Source organism: Homo sapiens, chromosome 11 (assembly GCF_000001405.40).
Source record: "Homo sapiens chromosome 11, GRCh38.p14 Primary Assembly".
Taxonomy (NCBI): Eukaryota; Metazoa; Chordata; class Mammalia; order Primates; family Hominidae; genus Homo; species Homo sapiens.
In genome coordinates, this window is record NC_000011.10 from 17091288 (window position 1) to 17110052 (window position 18765).

At 40.2% G+C, this 18765-nt stretch overlaps 1 protein-coding gene across 6 annotated transcripts in view; it reads right to left on the reverse strand.

Moving 5' to 3' along the window:
• PIK3C2A (phosphatidylinositol-4-phosphate 3-kinase catalytic subunit type 2 alpha) overlaps positions 1–18765 on the reverse strand; it is a 121412-nt gene that overhangs the window by 4713 nt on the left and 97934 nt on the right. For all 6 annotated transcript variants that reach the window (NM_001321380.2, NM_001386870.1, NM_002645.4 and 3 more), the window contains 10 exons: positions 13882–14018; positions 11375–11544; positions 9991–10147; positions 8573–8682; positions 5770–5977; positions 2974–3098; positions 872–989; positions 709–781; positions 260–369; positions 47–172 (listed from right to left, as the gene is read on the reverse strand). In NM_001321380.2, coding sequence (NP_001308309.1) covers positions 47–172; positions 260–369; positions 709–781; positions 872–989; positions 2974–3098; positions 5770–5977; positions 8573–8682; positions 9991–10147; positions 11375–11544; positions 13882–14018 — 1334 coding nt within the window. The remainder of the gene's footprint in view (positions 1–46; positions 173–259; positions 370–708; positions 782–871; positions 990–2973; positions 3099–5769; positions 5978–8572; positions 8683–9990; positions 10148–11374; positions 11545–13881; positions 14019–18765) is intronic.

An 18765-nucleotide genomic window follows, 5' to 3' on the forward strand; every position in this document is an offset into this window, starting at 1 on the left:
AAAAAATAATAAACCAAGGAAACTTCTAGAAATGATTTTAACTTACCATTTCATTGAATGTCGGATTCCTCGTTTTTCGTGAAATTTTGGTTTTACGTTTGGATGTTTTGTGGTTATCTGGAAGTAGGTATGTTTTGACATATGGATTTGGGTCAGCTCCATCTTCAGTAACCTAAAAAGAAAAGCAGTCCCTTAATAGTAATGCTTCCTACCAAGGTAAGGGTTTCCTCTACAACCATCATTCTTTGTAATCACTCACAAGATCTTTGATATGCATCACCATGATGAAAAGAGTACCATTTCGGTAAGAGATGGATAATTTCACAGCTCCTCCTATTTGGCCTGGAGTAGGACTGAAGGAACCTGCATCTGAAAATACAAATATTTTCATCTTTATTTACTGGTTGTAGTGGTTCAAGCTGCAATAAAAGGATTTTGCTTTATTTTCAAGACTGTCACATGTGGTGCGGACAGAAGGGAGGGGAAAAAGGAGTAAACAACCTGATAGGTCATTGATTTATACTTCTTTAGTAATCACATCTATTAGGAAAGTTATATTTATTCAGAAATAGACTGGCTTAGAAAGAATACTCTCCTCCCATTCTCAGACTACAGCTAGTAAGCCTGCTGTCATTCTACCACATTCATCGAGAAGTTACAGACTTGCAGATCATGAGTTACCAATAAAGAGAAAAAAAATAATCTCACCTGCAGACCTAGCTATCCCTTCAGCTTTCTCATCACGAAGTAAAGGGTGGAAGAAAGTACAAACAAGATCACACTAAGAATAAAGAGAAAGCAATTCATTAGTTTAAATATTATGTAACACAAAAGGTATAAGATGTTATTACTTCTCATTTAGTAAGGTTACCTCTGCTACATCCGTTGAAGCATTCATCAAACTCTGTAAGTAACTGTTTAACTCAATTTTCCTTTTGGCTGCTACATCTTTTATGTGTGTTCTTCCTAGAACCATCCTATTAGGAAAGCTACAAAAGAAAAACAAAAACAAGTGGGATTTAAATAAGTACAATATTTCCTTAGAAATACACTTTTTCATATATACTTAAAGACAAAGTAGTCTTAATCCATTATAAAGTAATATTTTGTGGCCGGGCACGGTGGCTCATGGCCTTTGGGAGGCCAAGGCGGGTGGATCACTTGAGGTCAGGAGTTTGAAACCAGGTTGGCCAACATGATAAAACCCTGTCTCTACTAAAAATACAAAAATTAGCGTGCTGATGCCTATAATCAGATACCTATAATCCCAGCTACTCGGAAGGCTGAGGCAGAAAAATCACTTGAACCTGGGAAGCGGAAGTTGCAGTGAGCCGAGATCACTTACACTCCAGCCTGGGTGACAGAGCAAGTCTCCGTCTCAAAATAAAATAAGTAATTTTTTGTGATTTCTCTTCAAAGTATTGGAGATGACATCGTTCAGTCACCCATTATCCTTTTATGAGCCTTGGTTGAAAAGGTGTATGTGTTGATTTCCTATATTTATTATTAGCTTGGTGCAAAAGTAACTGTGGTTTTTGACATTAAAAGTAATGGCAAAAAACGCAATTACTTTTGTACCTACTTAATACTTATTTTCTAATATTTCTTCTCAAGTTTAATCACTCATAAATATTTTATCCAGATCTGATCCCTAAAAAATAAAATCACTACTCAATCAGCCATAAATATTACATATACCAGTAAAATCCACAAATAATAACATAAGGCCTAAGTAAGGTGCTGAAAGGATAATCTTAATTCCACTTATTTTGGTGGCAGTGGAAAAATGAAACTGTACACGGAAACAAACTCTAATACCCACTTCACCTCATCCTCACTTTTGAAATCTAGTCTGAAGAAAATATGAAAAAACTCGACACAGGAAATCTACTGGTCATTGAGCTACATTAAAACTGAAGACTCCCAAAGGGTATCAGATACAAAACTAAGATTTTGATTGACAGTCTCGATGATGTTTGCTTGTTATTTATTTTTTTGAGACGGAGTCTCGCTCTGTTGCCCAGGCTGGAGTGCAGTGGTGCCATCTCAGCTCACTGCAAGCTCCACCTTCTGGGTTCACGCCATTCTCCTGCCTCAGCCTCCCAAGTAGCTGGGACTACAGGCGCCTGCCACCATGCCCAGCTAATTTTTTGTATTTTTTAGAAGAGACGGTTCACCGTGTTAGCCAGGATGGTCTCCATCTCCTGACCTCGTGATCCGCCCGCCTTGGCCTCCCAAAATGCTGGGATTATAGGTGTGAGCCACCGCGCCCGGCCATGCTTCAGTTTTTTTAGCAGAGGAGCTCAGTATGGCCCATGATAGATTATTTCTACACTGATTTAGCATATGACTTTTTTTTTGGGGGGGGGGGACAGGGTCTCATTCTGTCACCCAGGCTGTAATGCAGTGATGTGATCTTCGCTCACTGCAACCTCCACATCCTGGTATCAATCAATCCTCTCACTTCAGCCTCCTGAGTAGCTGGGACTTCAGACATGTGCCACCAGCCCAGCTAATTTTTGTATTTTTTATAGAGATGGGGTTTCGCCATGGTGCCCAGGCTAGTCTCCAACTCCTGGACTCAAGGTATCTCCCTGCCTCGGCCTCCCAAAGTGCTGGGATTATAAGCTTGTGAGCCACCACACCTGGCAGGATATGACTTTTTTCAAAACCAAGATGCCAAATTATTATCTTGTGTTGCTTACTATGGTAGAGACAGCAAAGTTAAAGCTTCAATAAGAGTTAGAAGTCTGAAAATCTCATATTTTAACATCCCGATCATTTATTCATTCAACAAAAACTTCCAGTTCCTTGTTTATGTCTGCTTTTGTATTAGGTCTTTATGACACAAAGGAAAATAAGCCACACATGGCCGATAATATCTTACTAAGTGTTAACACAAAGCTTTCTACCTACATTTGATAACAAGTTGTTTCCTACAAAAAGGATTAATGTACAAGGATGAATACATACCCTGGTAACTTCCAAAGTGGAAAAATAATACTGAGCTTATTGTGAAGTTCCTGAAATTCGTCAAATGTTCGGAAGACAAATGATGGTTCAATCTGTCCTTCCCTCAAAATTCGGACTACATAAATCTGAAAAGAAATCACACCACAAACACATAAAATTTATATTTAAAACCTTCTTTCCAGGCCGGGTGCAGTGGCTCATGCCTGTAATCCCAGCACTTTGGGAGGCCGAGGTGGGTGGATCAGCTGAGGTCAGGAGTTTGAGACCAGCCTGGGCAACATAGTAAAAGCACGTCTCTACTAAACAAACAAAAATTAGCTGGGCATAGTGGTGCGTGCCTGTAATCCCAGCTACTTGGGAGGCTGAGGCAGGCAAATCACTTGAACCTGGGAGACAGAGGTTGCAGTGAACCGAGATGGCACTGTACTCCAGCCTGGGCAACAGAGCGAGACTCCATCTCAAAAAAACCTTCTTTCCTATATTGATCTTAGCTAAAAGACCAAGAAGCAAAAAAACCTCCTTTCCTGACAGAAAAGAAATTTATAGCTTAATTGTTATATGCAGTTCAAGTACTTTTATCTTGGTAATATATATGTCACCAATAGGAAAAAGCAAATATAAGTCATTGTATTTATAACACATCTAACTACATTTTAAGAGTGATCATAACCATCCTAAGATAGATAAACTAGAACTTAAAAGTGTAAGCTGGGCACGGTTGCTCATGCCTATAATCCTAGCACTTTGAGGGGCCAAGGTGAGAGGATCATTTCAGCCCTGGAGTTAGAGACCAGCCTGTGCAACATAGTAAGGCTCTGTTTCTATAAAAAATATAAAGATTAGCCAACTGTGGTGGCACATGCCTGTAGCCCCAGCTACTTGGGAAGCTAAGGTGGGAGGATCAACTCAGCCCAGGTGTCAAGGCTACAGTGAGCCAAGTGAGCCAAATGAGCCAACACTGCATCACTGCACTCCAGCCAGGGTAATAGAGCGAGACCGTTTCTCAAAAAGTAGAAATAAAAATAGTCCAGGCAGCCGGGCGCAGTGGTTCACGCCTGTAATCCCAGCACTTTGGAAGGCTGAGGCAGGTGGATCACAAGGTCAGGATATTGAGACCATCCTGGCTAACATGGTGAAATCCTGTCTCTACTAAAAAAAAAAAAAAAAAAAAATACAAAAAATGAGCCGGGCGTGGTGGTGGGTACCTGTAGTCCCAGCTACTTGGGAGGCTGAGGCAGGAGAATGGCGTGAACCCGGGAGGCAGAGCTTGCAGTGAGCTGAGATCACACCTCTGCACTCCAGCCTGGGCAACAGAGCAAGACTCCGTCTCAAAAAAATAAAAAAATAAAAAAATAAATAATAAATAAAATAGTCCAGGCATGGTGGCTCACATAATCCCAGAACTTCGAGAGGCCGAAATGAGTGGATTACTTGGGGCCAGGAATTCGCCTGGCCATGTGCCTGGGCAACATGGCGAAACCCCATCTCTACTAAAAATACAAAAATTAGCCGGGTGTGCTGGCGCATGCCTGTAGTCCCAGCTAGCCATTCAGGAGCTGAGGCATGAGAATTGCTTGAACCTGGGAGGCACAGGTTTCAGGAGACGAGATTGCGCCACTGCACTCCAGCCTGGGCAACAGAGTGAGACTCTTTTATATTTATAAAATAAAATAAAATAACATAACATAAAATAAAATAAAAATAAATAAAAAGTCAGTTAAAAAAAGGCAAAAGGTTTATGGGGGGTAGTGAAGGAAAACTTGTTTTGCTGGCTAGTTAAACTTTTTTTTTTTTTTGATACAGCGTCTTGCTCTGTTGCCCAGCCTGGAGCGCAATGGCACAATATTGGCTTACTGCAACCTCTGCCTCTCGGGTTCAAGCGATTCTCCTGCCTCAGCCTCCTGAGTAGCTGGGACTACAGACACATGCCACCACATCCAGCTAATTTTCATATTTTTATTAGAGACGGGGTTTCACCATGTTGGCCAGGCTGGTCTTGAACTCCTGACCTCAGGTGATCACCTGCCTCGGGCTCCCAAAGTGCTGGGATTATAGGCATGAGCCACTGCGCCCGGCCTATTTAAACTTTTATAAAGTTACAATACTTTAAAGCATATAATACTGGTGCCAAGTAGGATCTATCTATAGCAGGCCAGAAACAAATTTGGGGATATATATATAAACTTAAAGGTAGTAGTATATATTGGGGAGAGAATGGACTATGCAATAAAATGGTGTTAGGATAACTTTAATAAACACACAAAAAGATACTAAAATTTATTAACAGAATAGATGAAAAACAGTAGTAAAATAGCTTTTTAAAGACTATCTATTTGCCAAAAATTTAAAAACTGGCAGTTCTGGAAAGTATTATCTAACAAAAAAGGTAGCACAAGGGTGAAAAGTAGCAACAAAAAAGATAACACTACAGTCTCGAAGAGGAAAAAGCATGCTGAAGTTCCTGTATCTGTTCAAAGACAATGTGTGCGTGTTTTGTATCAGAGACTGGAATAGGAACTTTGACTTTTTACTTTACATACTTCTCTATTGATTAAATTTGTTACAACAAGCACACTTTACCACTCGGTCCTTATTGTTTGAAGCAAATATAGCAAGAATTAAATACCAAAAAAGTTAGGGATGCTTCAAGTACATTTACTTATTTATGGACCATTCATGAAAGAAACAAGCATGAATAGAACAAATGCTTGCAACTTTAGCAGAATCAGCAAAGGAAGTAGAAAGGACAACAATAATACATGCATGATTGTTTATGAATATTGAAATCAAACTTACATAATGTTTATCTGGGTTGTATTTCTTATGATATGTAAAAACAGAGACTTCCTTGATTCGACCATCTTGTCTAAAGGAGTATGTTTTAGGTGAAAATGAAAGGATGGGCTCATCATTAGAAGGAAGACCAGAAAAACGAAGCTGAGCAAGGTTGTGAATGAAGAAGTTAAACTTTGTGGCAATGCTTCCCAAACTTGATTCAATAAGCCTACAAAATAATCAGAAAATTCGTTAACAGTAAATGAGAACACATGGTAAATTCTTTCAATGTAATAAATGACAAAAACCACTTTCATTCCTTTAAAAATATTAAGCAGATTGTCACTTTGCCAAGGATTCCCTTTGTTCTACAGGCCAAAGGTTTGTTAAAACACATCTCACCCCAACAAAATAATTTAGCCCAAGAAAGAATTCATGCTTGGTTTTCTTGAACCCTGTAGGGTCCCCAAGACTAATTAAAGAGCTATTATAGATAGATGATGATTGGTATAATGCTAAAAAGATGACTTCATTACTTTATTTCCTTTTAATAAAGGAGAAAGATGACAAATAGGTGGGAAAGAAAGTAATCCAAGGGCTGGGCACGGTGGCTCACGCCTGTAATCCCAGCACTTTGGGAGGCCAAGGGGAGCGGATCACTTGAGGCCAGGAGTTCGAGACCAGCCTGGCCAACATGGCAAAACCCTGACTCTACTAAAAATAGAAAAATTAGCCAGGTGTGGTGGTGTGCGCCTATAATCCCAGCTACTCGGGAGGCAGAGGCAGGAGAATTGCTTGAACCCAGGAGGAAAGAGGTTGCAGTGAGCTGAGATTGCGCCACTGCACTCCACACTGGGTGCTGGAGTGAGACTGTCTCCAAAAAACCACAAAAACAAAAGAACAAAAACAAAGTAATCCAAATTTTAAAAATTCTCTCCTATCAAACAGTAGAACTGTAGAATTCAGTGTCAGACTCCTTCAGGTAATCATATTTTCATTCAGTTGGAAAAAGAAGTTTTGACAGGATGGAAAGTAGGTCTGGAAAGAACATTTTAGGCAAGCAAAGGAAATAAGTCTCAGAAACAAGGTTAAGGAAGCTAGAAAGAAGAAGGATATTCAAAAAGAGAAGTGAGAGAATCTCAAACACAGGCTTTTGCCCCACTATGGACTGAATGTTTGTGTTCCCTCAAATTCATATGCTGAAGCCCCAACACTGCCACTGTATTTAGAGATAGGGCCTTTATGGAAGTAATAAAGGTTAAATGAGGCCATAAACAGTAGAGCCCTAATCCAATAGGAGTGTCCGTCTAAGAAGAGATGAGAGAGCTAGTTCTCCCTACCATGTGAGGACACACTGTGAAGGTGGCCATCTGCAATCTGGCAAGGGAGCCCTCAACAGTAATGTAATTGGCTGGCACCTTGATTTTGGACCTCATAGACTCCAGAACTGTGAGAAAATAAATATCTGTTGTTTAAGCCACTAGTCTATAGTATTTTGTTATGGAAGTCTAAGCAGGCAGACGAATACATGCCTGCTTTGTGGTTTTGCCCAGGGGAGCCAATGAATCTCTCTTAAAAAACAAAGCAAAAGAAAACCCATCAATACCTAAATTGTCAGGATTAGTTTGGAAGGCTATACAAAAGTCAGCTTCCTTCAATTCATTTCAGCCCAGACTCTTGAGACTAGGGAAGTCCAGTCAGTGTTTTATACCTCTTCTCCACTGAGAGGAAGAAGGCAAGAGAAAAAGGAGAGAAAAGAACATGAGCTCAGGTACCCCTCCCTGCTGTGGTATTGTGATGATGTGGCAGCAGCAGTCAGTAACCAGCCTGATCACCAGACCTTTAGAACATATTTGTCAAGAAGATCTGTTTTTTTTGACACAGAGTTTCGCTTTTGTTCCTCAGGCTGGAGTGCAATGGCGCAATCTCGGCTCATCACAACCTCCATCTCCCAGGTTCAAGCGATTCTCCTGTCTCAGTCTCCTGAGTAGCTGGGATTTCAGGCATGCGCCACTATGCCCGGCTAATTTTGTATTTTTAGTGCAGACGGGGTTTCTCCATGTTGGTCAGGATGGTCTTGAACTCCCAACCTCAGGTAATCCGCCCGCCTCGGCCTTCCAAAGTGCTGGGATTACAGGCGTGAGCCACTGCGCCTGGCTGGAAGATCTGTTTTTAAAGCAATAACAAATTCAAGTACCAGTCATTGGTATATGTGTTTCAAGTACTATGCCATGTAATAGTTTACTTGCAGCAGTGACCAGGGTTTGCTGGATTAAAAACACCAAAGGTCTCCATGGAAATTGTTAAGACAAAATCCTGAAAAATAGATTAGTACAGATAACATTTTAGAAAGAGACTTTAATTAGCTGGGCTTAGTGGTGTGCGCCTGTAGTCCCAGCTATTCAGGAGGCTGAGGCAGGAGAATCGCTTGAACCCAGGAAGCGAGGTTGCAGTGAACTGAGATTGCACCACTGCACTCTAGCCTGGATGAAACAGCAAGACTCAGTCTCAAAATAAAAAATTAAAAAAGATTTTAAAATGGCACATGGCACTGTAGAAAAATATGTTTTTATCATTGAAATTACATATTAAATAAACCTTGAGATATTTTGAGGCAAATAAGTATATTTTAAAAAATATTATTGCAAATCCTTTGTATTTATTAGTAAATCAACTTTTGACAGCCTACTATGTGCAATTACTATGAATCAGAATTTGTTCCTATAAATTAGAATTTTGATAAATAGCATTTGTTTAAACTAAGGTAAAACAAATCAAAGCAATATTTTATGTTCCTTCTGCAATATACTTAAATATGCTTTACCTAGTAAAGAAAATTGTAGCTTCTGCGTCTGTAGTTTGGGGTTGAAGTGCATCTCTAACGTATTTCAAATCTTGAATACTTGTAAGTTCTGGTAACCCTGAAGGAATCATCTGTAGAAGAAAACAAAAAGTTCTGTGAGTTAAATTTTTTAAAACATTTGTTCCTCACTCCTTCCTGTGGGCTGCTCAAGTAATCAGAACTAAAGCAAACAAAAATAATCAGTCTTGAGGGGTTCATTAGTGTATTGGGGACCTAGGTGATTATCTAACAAATAAGGAAATGGACACCAAGGAAGTCAAGCAATTTGTTGGTGGTGGTCAAAAACCCAGTTTATAGAATTAAACCTGTGAGATCCAGATCTCCTTTTGTCTAGGCTCTTTTTTTGGGGGCGGGGGGGGGGGGCAGGGAGCCGGGTGCGATCTTGGCTCACTGCATCCTCTGCCTCCAGGGTTCAAGCAATTCTCCTGCCTCAGCCTCCTGAGTAGTTGGGATTACAGATACGTACCACTATGCCTGGCGAACTTTTTTTTTTTTGTATTTTTGATAGAGATGGGGTTTTGCCATGTTGGCCAGGCTGGTCTCGAACTCCTGACCTCAAGCAATCCGCCTGCCTTAGCCTCCCAAAGTGCTGGGATTACAGGCATGAGCCACCGCGCCTGGCCTAGGCCACTGTTTTTACTTTTATAGATTTAGGGGGTACAAGTACAATTTTGGTACATGTATGTATCACATAGTGATAAAGTCTGGGCTTTTAGTGCATCACTTGAATAGTATACATTGTACCCACTAAGTAACTTCTCATCTCCCATCCACCATCCCCCTTCCTACCCTCCCAAGTCTCCAATGTCTATTATTCTACTCTTTATGTCCATGTATACATATTATTTAACTCCTACTTATAAGTGAGAACACACAATATTTAACTTTCTATTTCTGAGTTATTTCACTTAAGACAATTGTAGCCTTCTGTTTATTACCATATCAATTTACTCATAATAATCATAGTGGGTTCGTGTTTTTTACTTTTTACTTAACGATAATATATACCCAGGAAAGTACAGAAATCTTCATTGTACAGCTGAGTGAATGTTGACAATTCACACCCATATTAATACACAAAACATTCATTAGCATATCAGATGCCTGCCTTGGGGTCCAGCTACTAATACTTCCCATCCCAAGGGGAGCCACTCTACTGACTTATTTTTTGTATTTTATACAAATGGAGTCAGACAGTAGGTACTCTTGTGTCTGGCTTATTTCACACGGCAGTAAGTTTAAAATATCTGAGCAATAATGTATCTGACATTTGTGACTAAAGCAAATTTTATTCCAAAATCACAAAATAATCTTTTTTAAGTATTGAAACATAGATGCATTAATATAAAACTAATTAAGTGCTTATAAAGAATAGTTACCAGTGAAAGGAGGTTAAGAAAAAGGTTTGTCTGCTTTCTTATCAAGTTGTAGGCCTGACAGCAGAGGTCCACAAACAACTGAAAACGAATGGTGGGCTTTTCACCCCCATTAATGACATATGCCATATCAGAGGTCAGCACAAAAGGAGCCCGATCCCTATTTAAAATGAAAGTACATACAAAATATTATTTACAGAAGATACTCCAATAGTGCTATTACATGATTATTAAACTAAGCTATCTGAGGTACAGCCATTTCCAACTAGGAAACTTAATACCACACACTTTTGAATTTCCATAATTTTAAAATAACATTTTTCTTTTTTTTTCTTTTTTTTTTTTTTGAGACAGAGTCCTGCTCTGTCGCCCAGGCTGGAGTGCAGTGGCGCGATCTAGGCTCACTGCAAGCTCCGCCTCCTGGGTTCATGACATTCTCCTGCCTCAGCCTCCCGAGTAGCCGGGACCACAGGGGCCCGCCACCACGCCCGGCTAATTTTTTGTATTTTTAGTAGAGGCGGGGTTTCACCGTGTTAGCCAGGATGGTCTCGATCTCCTGACCTTGTGATCCGCCCGCCTTGGCCTCCCAAAGTGCTGGGATTACAGGCGTGAGCCACTGCACCCGGCCTCTAAAATAACATTTTTCAAGAAAGCTATCACATAATAATCTCATTATTTAGAGAGAACTTATGTATGAAATTTCCTTACATATGAAAATAAGGTGATATTTATAAATCCACATACCCAAAGAGATCAAACAGTAGTTACAAACATAGAAAACTACTTACTGCCGTTATACACACGAAATCATTTCTTTCTAAGAGTTATCGCTAAGTAGATAAAAAAAATATATGTCCCTTAATTCATTTCAACAAAGTTTAGCTGCGCATGGTGGCTCACGCCTGTAATCCCAGCACTTTGGGAGGCCGAGGCGGGTAGATCACTTGGTCAGGAGATCGAGACCATCCTGGCTAACACGGTGAAACCCCGTCTCTACTAAAAATACAAAAAAATTAGCCGGGCGTGGTGGCGGGCGCCTGTAGTCCCAGCTACTCAGGAGGCTGAGGCAGGAGAATGGCGTGAACCCGGGAGGCGGAGCTTGCAGTGAGCCGAGATCGTGCCACTGCACTCCAGCCTGGGCGACACAGCAAGACTCCGTCTCAAAAAAATACCAAAAGAACAAAACAACAACAACAACAACAAAACAAAGTTTATACACATTTACACACATTCTTGTCTACTATGTGGTATGGTCATATCTTTGGGCCTTTTTCATTCCCAGTTATGTTCAAATGGAGCCGCGAGGCAAAACACAAAGCTTGAGACAAACTTTAATTTGTGAAACAGGAAGTGCCTCATTTCTTTGGCAACAGCAATAACATTATACCTTTTGAAGCTGCCAAACATCTGTGCATGTCCCAAAAACTTTCCAAAGTCAATGTGAAACATGTGTCCCGTGCTTCGAAGCATTATATTGTCATTGTGTCGATCACAGATGCCTAAAACATAGGTGGCTACACAGCATCCAGCACAGGAATAGATAAAGTTCTCTGAAGCCTATAAAAAACATACACAATTATTTTAGAAAATGAATTATTTTTAAAAGAGGCAGAGTTTATAAATAGTAAAGTAATTTATCACTCTTTAAAAACACTATTGTAATCCACTCTCTCAATAGCATACAAACTGGGATATAGTAATAAAAGCCAATCTTTTCATATTTCAAAAACAAAAACACTCTTCTAAGGGTGGTTACTGCCCCTTCTCTAGCTTTTCTCTTTTAAAAGTCTGGGATCTCTACCAGTCCCTACTTAGGTACGTGCTGCCTTCAAACATCTTTTAAGCGTCATGTTTGTGGAATCCTGCACCTCTCTGACTCTGCTGCTTAGAATCGGTGAGGTGCAGGATTCCACAAACATGATGGATAGAAGATTTTTTGCTTTTTTTCCTCTGCCTGCAGGGAAGACATGTGTAAGGAAAATCAGCTTATATCTGAAAACATCCAAGAATACAAGTAATGTGTTTTGTTTCCCATGTGGTGATTCCCTGTGTGTCATCTTAAGTCCTCCCTCTCCTGGGGATTATTAAAATTACTAATATAATATTGTATAGAAGGATACAGCAAGACACATACAATGAGGTTTTTCTTTAATCTAAAGCATGTGTATTTAGTTTATTTATACAAAATACTGTATTTCTGAGTGGTACATTCACTTGGCCTGACTTGCCCATGTAGTTAATTTTATTCCATAATTCCCCAGAAATCATTACCAATGATGATAACAGCAAATGTTTATATAGCATTTAGCACAAACCAGGCACTTCTCTGTGTATGTGTGTATATGTGTGTGTGTGTGTATACATTAACATATTTAGAATCTCACAACAATCAATGACTTAGGTACTATCATCATAACAATTGTACAGATGGAAAACTGAAACAGAGGTTGTTTGCCCAAGATCACATAATTGTTAAGTTGCAGAGTGAGGATTCAAATCCAGGCAATATGACTTCACTAAGTTATATTCCCTCTTACTTATTAAATCACATTAAAAAGCCAAATTCATAAAAGATGCTTAATGTATGCTACTTGGCAATTATTTCCTCACCAGGAATCACAAAAGGGCCAACATTACTAAAACAAGTATTGGCTTCTGCTGCACTGCTTTTTTTCCCCAGATCACAAAGAAGTATGAAAAGGGAGTGATCTCACAGTTTAAAAGATCTAACAAAGGTCAAAATTCCCCTGCATTAGCTTTGTAGGTCAACAGATGGCACGTGTATGTCTATAAAGATGATCCATTAATGAAACATAAACTAGGCAGCTCCATGACATTAAAATGGGAGTCTTCCTACATCACCACTCAGTTTTCTTGGGTCTTCCTTAGGCCAAGTTAGGATCATTAGAGGCCTATGTCCTGAAAGACTGCCCTTTCCTCATATGTAATTCTAAATAATAGTAAAACAGAAAATTGATGTTTCCAGTAATAAGAGCTATCAATTATACAACTTTCACTATGCAGTGCTTCATATATATTAAATCATTTAATTTTCACAAAAATCTCAATGCTTATGTTTACAGCCATAGTATATGCTATAATACCATAATATATACAATACTTTATAGCAGAGGTCACTGAGGCACAAAGATGTTAAATAATCTGCATAGGTCAGGTGCGGTGGCTCACGCCTGTAATCCCAGCACTTTGGGAGACTGAAGCGGGCGGATCACAAGGTCAGGAGATCGAGACCATCCCGGCTAACACAGTGAAACCCCACCTCTACTAAAAATACAAAAAATTGCCTGGGCGTGGTGGTGGGCGCCTGTAGCCCCAGCTACTTGGGAGGCTGAGGCAGGAGAATGGCGTGAACCCAGGAGGCGGAGCTTGCAGTGAGCCGAGATAGCGCCACTGCACTCCAGCCTGGGTGACAGAGTGAGACTCCATCTCAAAAAAAAAAAAAAAAAAAAAATTTGCATAAGGCCCTGTTGCTGAGTGACTTGGGACGGGACCTGAATTCAAACCCAGAGAGTTTGGCCCCTAATTTATGTTCTTAACTACCACATGATGCAGCCCATTTTACTCATTTCCCTACCTTCCTCCAAGATCTTTGGGAAATATAACATTCTGCATTAGAAAAATGCCTCTGTTTTGCTGGCCTCTAAGTATGTGTTTGGAAATTTTTGGGGGTGTAATTTAGCATTGGTTTCACTCAGATTCCTGCCATTAAATGCGTCTTGTTTTACATTCTTTCCTATACTTAGAAAAAGATGCTCTTTTCCTGACTTAGACTAAATGACTATTTGGTCACCAGAGCTGGAAAATGAAAGAACTTAAAACCTCTGTAACACATTTTTGACAAAGCTTTTTAGAATGAGGAGACATGCTAATTACCTTTTCATATTCTTCTTCAGAGGGATTGTATTTCCTTAGCCACTCTGCAAGTGGTTTATCTTTAAAGGATCCTGTCACACCATATTCCACTTGGATTTTCCTGAGGGTATCGGAAGCAGGAACCAGCTCCACCATGCCTTTAATGATAAAATATTAAGCTATGTAAAACTGTCTCTCCAAAGTAAGCCTTTAAACATTTTTAAAAATTATTATTACTTTTTAAATTTCACTTTAAGTTCTGGGATACACGTGCAGAATGTGCAAGTTTGTTACATAGGTATACATGTGCCATGGTGGTTTGCTACACCTACCAACCCGTCATCTAGGTTTTAAGCCCCGCATACATTAGGTATTTGTCCTAATGCTCTTCCTCCCCTTGCCTCCCACCTGCCAACAGGCCCTGGTGTGTGATGTTCCCCTCCCTGTGTCCACGTGTTCTCACTGTTCAACTCCCACATATGAGTGGGAACATGAGATGTTTGGTTTTCTGTTCCTGTGTTAGTTTGCTGAGAATGATGGCTTCCAGCTTCATTCATGTCCCTGCAAAGGACATGAACTCATTCTTTTTATGGCTGCATGCCTTTTAAAAAGTTATAGTTTTCAATCTTTGACATAGGAAACCAGCTAGCAATTGTTACCTTCAAAAAAATTCAAGTCTGCCTGGGTGCAGTGACTCACGCCTGCAGTCCTAGCACTCTGGGAGGCCGAGGTGGGTGGATCACTTGAGGTCAGGAGTTTGAGACCAGCCTGGCCAACATGGCAAAACCCCGTCTCTACTAAAAATACAAAAATTAGCGGGGCGTGGTGGTAGGCACCTGTAATCCCAGCTACTCAGGAGGCTGAGGCAGGAGAATCCCTTGAACCCAGGAGGCAGAGGTTGCAGTGAGCCAAGATAGCACTACTGCACTCCAGCCTGGGCAACAGAGCCAGACTCTATCTCAAAAAAAAAAAAATCAAGTCTGGCCAGGAATGGTGGCTCATACCTGTAATTCCAGCACTTTTGGAGGCTGAGGTGGGTGGATCACTTGAGCTCAGGAGTTTGAGACCATCCTGACCAACATAGCAAAACCCCACCACTACTAAAAATACAAACATTAACCAGGCATGGTGACACACACCTGCAGTCCCAGCTACTTTGGAGGCTGATGCATGAGAATTACTTGAACCCAGGAGGCAGAGGTTGCAGTGAGTCAAGATGACACCACTGCGCTCCAGCCTGGACGACAGCGAGACCCTGTCTTCAAAAAAAATAAAAAATAAAAAAAATCAAGTCTGGCCGCCAATCAAAATTGTTCTTTATTTTCAAAAGTATCTAACATGTAAACATCAATTTTGACTATTTGAGACTCTCTAGTCTGTACATCCATGTACTAATTCCCAAAGGAAAACTAGCTGAGATCACAGATGCCCAACACCATGCCCAGCTAATTTTTGTATTTATTTATTTATTTTTAGTTGAGACAGGGTTTCACCATGTTGGCCAGGCTGGTCTTGAACTCCCATCCTTCAGTGATCCGCCTGTCTCAGCTTCCCAGAGTGCTGGGATTACAGGCGTGAGCCACCGTGCCCAGTGAGGAAAACTATTTTAATTACAAACAAGAAGACACTGACCTAGCTGGTAAAGTTACATATAAGACACACACTGTCCCACTTCAGCACAAAAAAATTTCTTTAATCATATATTTGGGCAAGATAAGAACCTTCCAGAATACGTTAGCACTTTCGAAAGGAAGAAGAGATGAAGACTGACCTTGTGATATGATTAAATCTCAAGTATATATTTTGGCCTCCTAATTGAAATATAAATGCCTGGCTGAACAAATTGTTTTTTGTTTTCTCTCTGACTCCTTTAAAACAAGTATCTGCCAGGCGTGGTGGCTCATGCCTGTAATCCCAGCACTTTGGGAGGCCGAGGCGGGCAGATCACAAGGTCAGGAGATCGAGACCATCCTGGCTAACATGGTGAAACCCCATCTCTACTAAAAGTACAAAAAATTAGCCGGGTGTCGTGGCGGAAGCCTGTAGTCCCAGCTACTCGGGAGGCTAAGGCAGGAGAATGGCATGAACCCAGGAGGCGGAGCTTGCAGTGAGCTGAGATGGCGCCATTGCACTCCAGCCTGGGCAACAGTGCAAGGCTCCGTCTCAAAAAATAAAAAAAAATAAAATAAGTATCAAACAATAAATTATGTGATATTTACACAAAAGAAAACAATGAGGGAGGAATTATGTGCTTTGATAGAAAGATCTCAAAAATAATGTTAAAGACAAAATCCAGATGGAGAACTGTATTTCTGTGTTTGAAAAGAAGGATGGTTGTGCATATTAGAATATACACAAAACATTTCCAGAAGGCTACATAAGTAGTTATATTGTGGAAAGACGGTACCTAGAATTGAGGATAAAGGTATGAGAGAAAACGAACATTTACTTTTCAATTTATTCTACTATATGCTATCTGGATATCCTACTATGTGCAAATATTATTTATACAATTAAAATATTAATTGATACATTTTTAAAATGAAGGAGATGCATTTGTGTTAAAATAAAATATATGAAAACAGAGCTCTGCTTTGGACAAAGGATTGGAGGAAACAGAAGTTGACCAAGGCTGCCAGGGTACCCCGATAGAAAGTATGTGGGGACAGATTGTAATTCTAGTAGTCTAGTTACATATGGCAGAATGAATTCATTTGGCTCCTTTTTTTCTGGTTGTTTTCTGAGACAGAGTCTCACTCTGTTTTCCAGGCTGGAGTGCAGTGGCGCCACCTGGGCTCACTGCAACCTCTGCCTCCCGGATTCAAGTGATTCTAGTGCCTGAGCCTCCCAGCAGCCAGGACTACAGACATGCACCACCACGCCTGGCTAATTTTTTGTATTTTTAGTAGAGGTGGGGTTTCACCATATTGGCTAGGCTGGTCTCAAACTTCTGGCCTCAAGGGATCTGCCCGCCTCGGCCTCCCAAAGTGCTGGGATTACAGGCATGAGCCACTGCGCCCAGCCTCTGCTATGTGAATTCTAAAAGAGCTGTAACACTCAAAAATCAGGTTTTAAAACGAACTCAACAAATTGAAAAGTAGTGTATCAAATATAACAAAGTTAATAGCTAACGTCCTACACATGGTTCTAAGACACAAAAATGTACAAGTACATAGCTGGACACAGCGGTGCATGCCTACACTCCCTGCTACTTGGGAGGCTGAGGTGGTAGGATTTCGTGAGACCAGTTCGAGGCCGGCCTCGACAACATAGTGAGACCCCTGTCTTTATGAAAAATTTTAAAAATTAGCTGGGTGTGGTGGCATGTCACAGGTGCATGCCATCATATCAAGCTAATTTTGGGAGGCTGAGGCAAGTGGATTGCTTGAGCCCAGGAGTTTGAGGCTGCAGTGAGCTATGATCACACCACTGCACTCCAGCCTGTATGACAGACAGAGTAAGATCCCATCTCTGAAAAAAGAAAGAAAACAAAAAGAAAATGTACAAGTTACAGGATGGCCAAGACATGGCTTAGCAGAAGCTGGTATGATGACAACTTACTGATTTTATTTATGAATAGTTTCACATGTGTGACACTATGCCCACCCTTTTGTATTCTACAAAATCCAGGTGCCATTCTTAGAGACAACAGATTACCTGAACCATTTGCAAGGAGAATAATAAGGTGATAAGGTAATTTAAAGTAATATTTCATAAATGGCTGAAGAATTTGGAATTCAGAATCTGAAGCCACACTACTGGTAAGGGTGAAGATGGATTTAACTTAATTATATGATAGTCTCTGAACAGAACTGGAACCAATGGGTAAAAGACACCAGGACTCAGTTCCCATTAATCACCTGAATATGAAAAAGAAATCTATAGCTATCAGAGCTACACAGGATAGAATGAACCGCCTTGAAATGCAGTGAATTCCCCTTCACTACAGGCATTTAAGCATAAATTGAATGGCAAATATTGGAAGGACGATTATCTTTCAGGTGATTTCCTAGTGCCTATGCATAGAATTTGTGAAGTGTTTCTCATTTCCACCAACAGCAGATGATCTTTCGTTTAAAACCTGATGGTATTGCCTTTACAACTTTTAGAGCTTTCAGCTTATTAAAGCATACTCTGATTACTTGTACATATTATTGCTTCCTTCTAAAATATGAGTACCATATATTCTTACCATTTTATAGATGGTAAACAACAAACATTTGTTGAATAAGAATAATGATGGCTGCCATTTATTGAGCACATAATACATATCAGATATTAGGATGTTTTACATCCATTATTTCAAAACAGTTCAATAAATAGTAAGATAGAAATCTGCTATTAGTAGAAAATAACTTTGTATGACTTTATTTTATAAAAATGAAATCAAAGTTGATTTAACTTAGATATGGCCTTATTTATTTATTAGGTTTTGAGACAAGGTCTCACTGTTTTACCTGGGTTGGAGTGCAGTAGCATGATCATGGTTCACTGAAGCCTTAACCTCCTAGGCTCAAGTAATCCTCTCACCCCATCCTCCAGAGCAGCTGAGACTATTTATTCATTTTTGTAGAGACAGGGTCTCCCTGTGTTGCCTGGGCTGGTCTCAAACTCCTAGACTCAAGTGATCCTCCTGCCTTGGCCTCCTAAAATGCTGGGATTACAGGTGAGAGCCACTGCACCCAGAGATATGGCATTATTTTTAAGTTTAAAAGCTAAAGACCATACAGTCCTCACTGGGTCAATTAATGGACACCTCTGATTACTGCAAAGCATTTATTTAGGCTACACTAGGTTAAAAAAATTTTTTTTTAATTTATTTTGAGATAGAGTCTCACTGTGTCACCGAGCCTAGAATACAGTGATGCAATCTCGGCTCACTGCAGCCTCCGCCTCCCAAGTTCA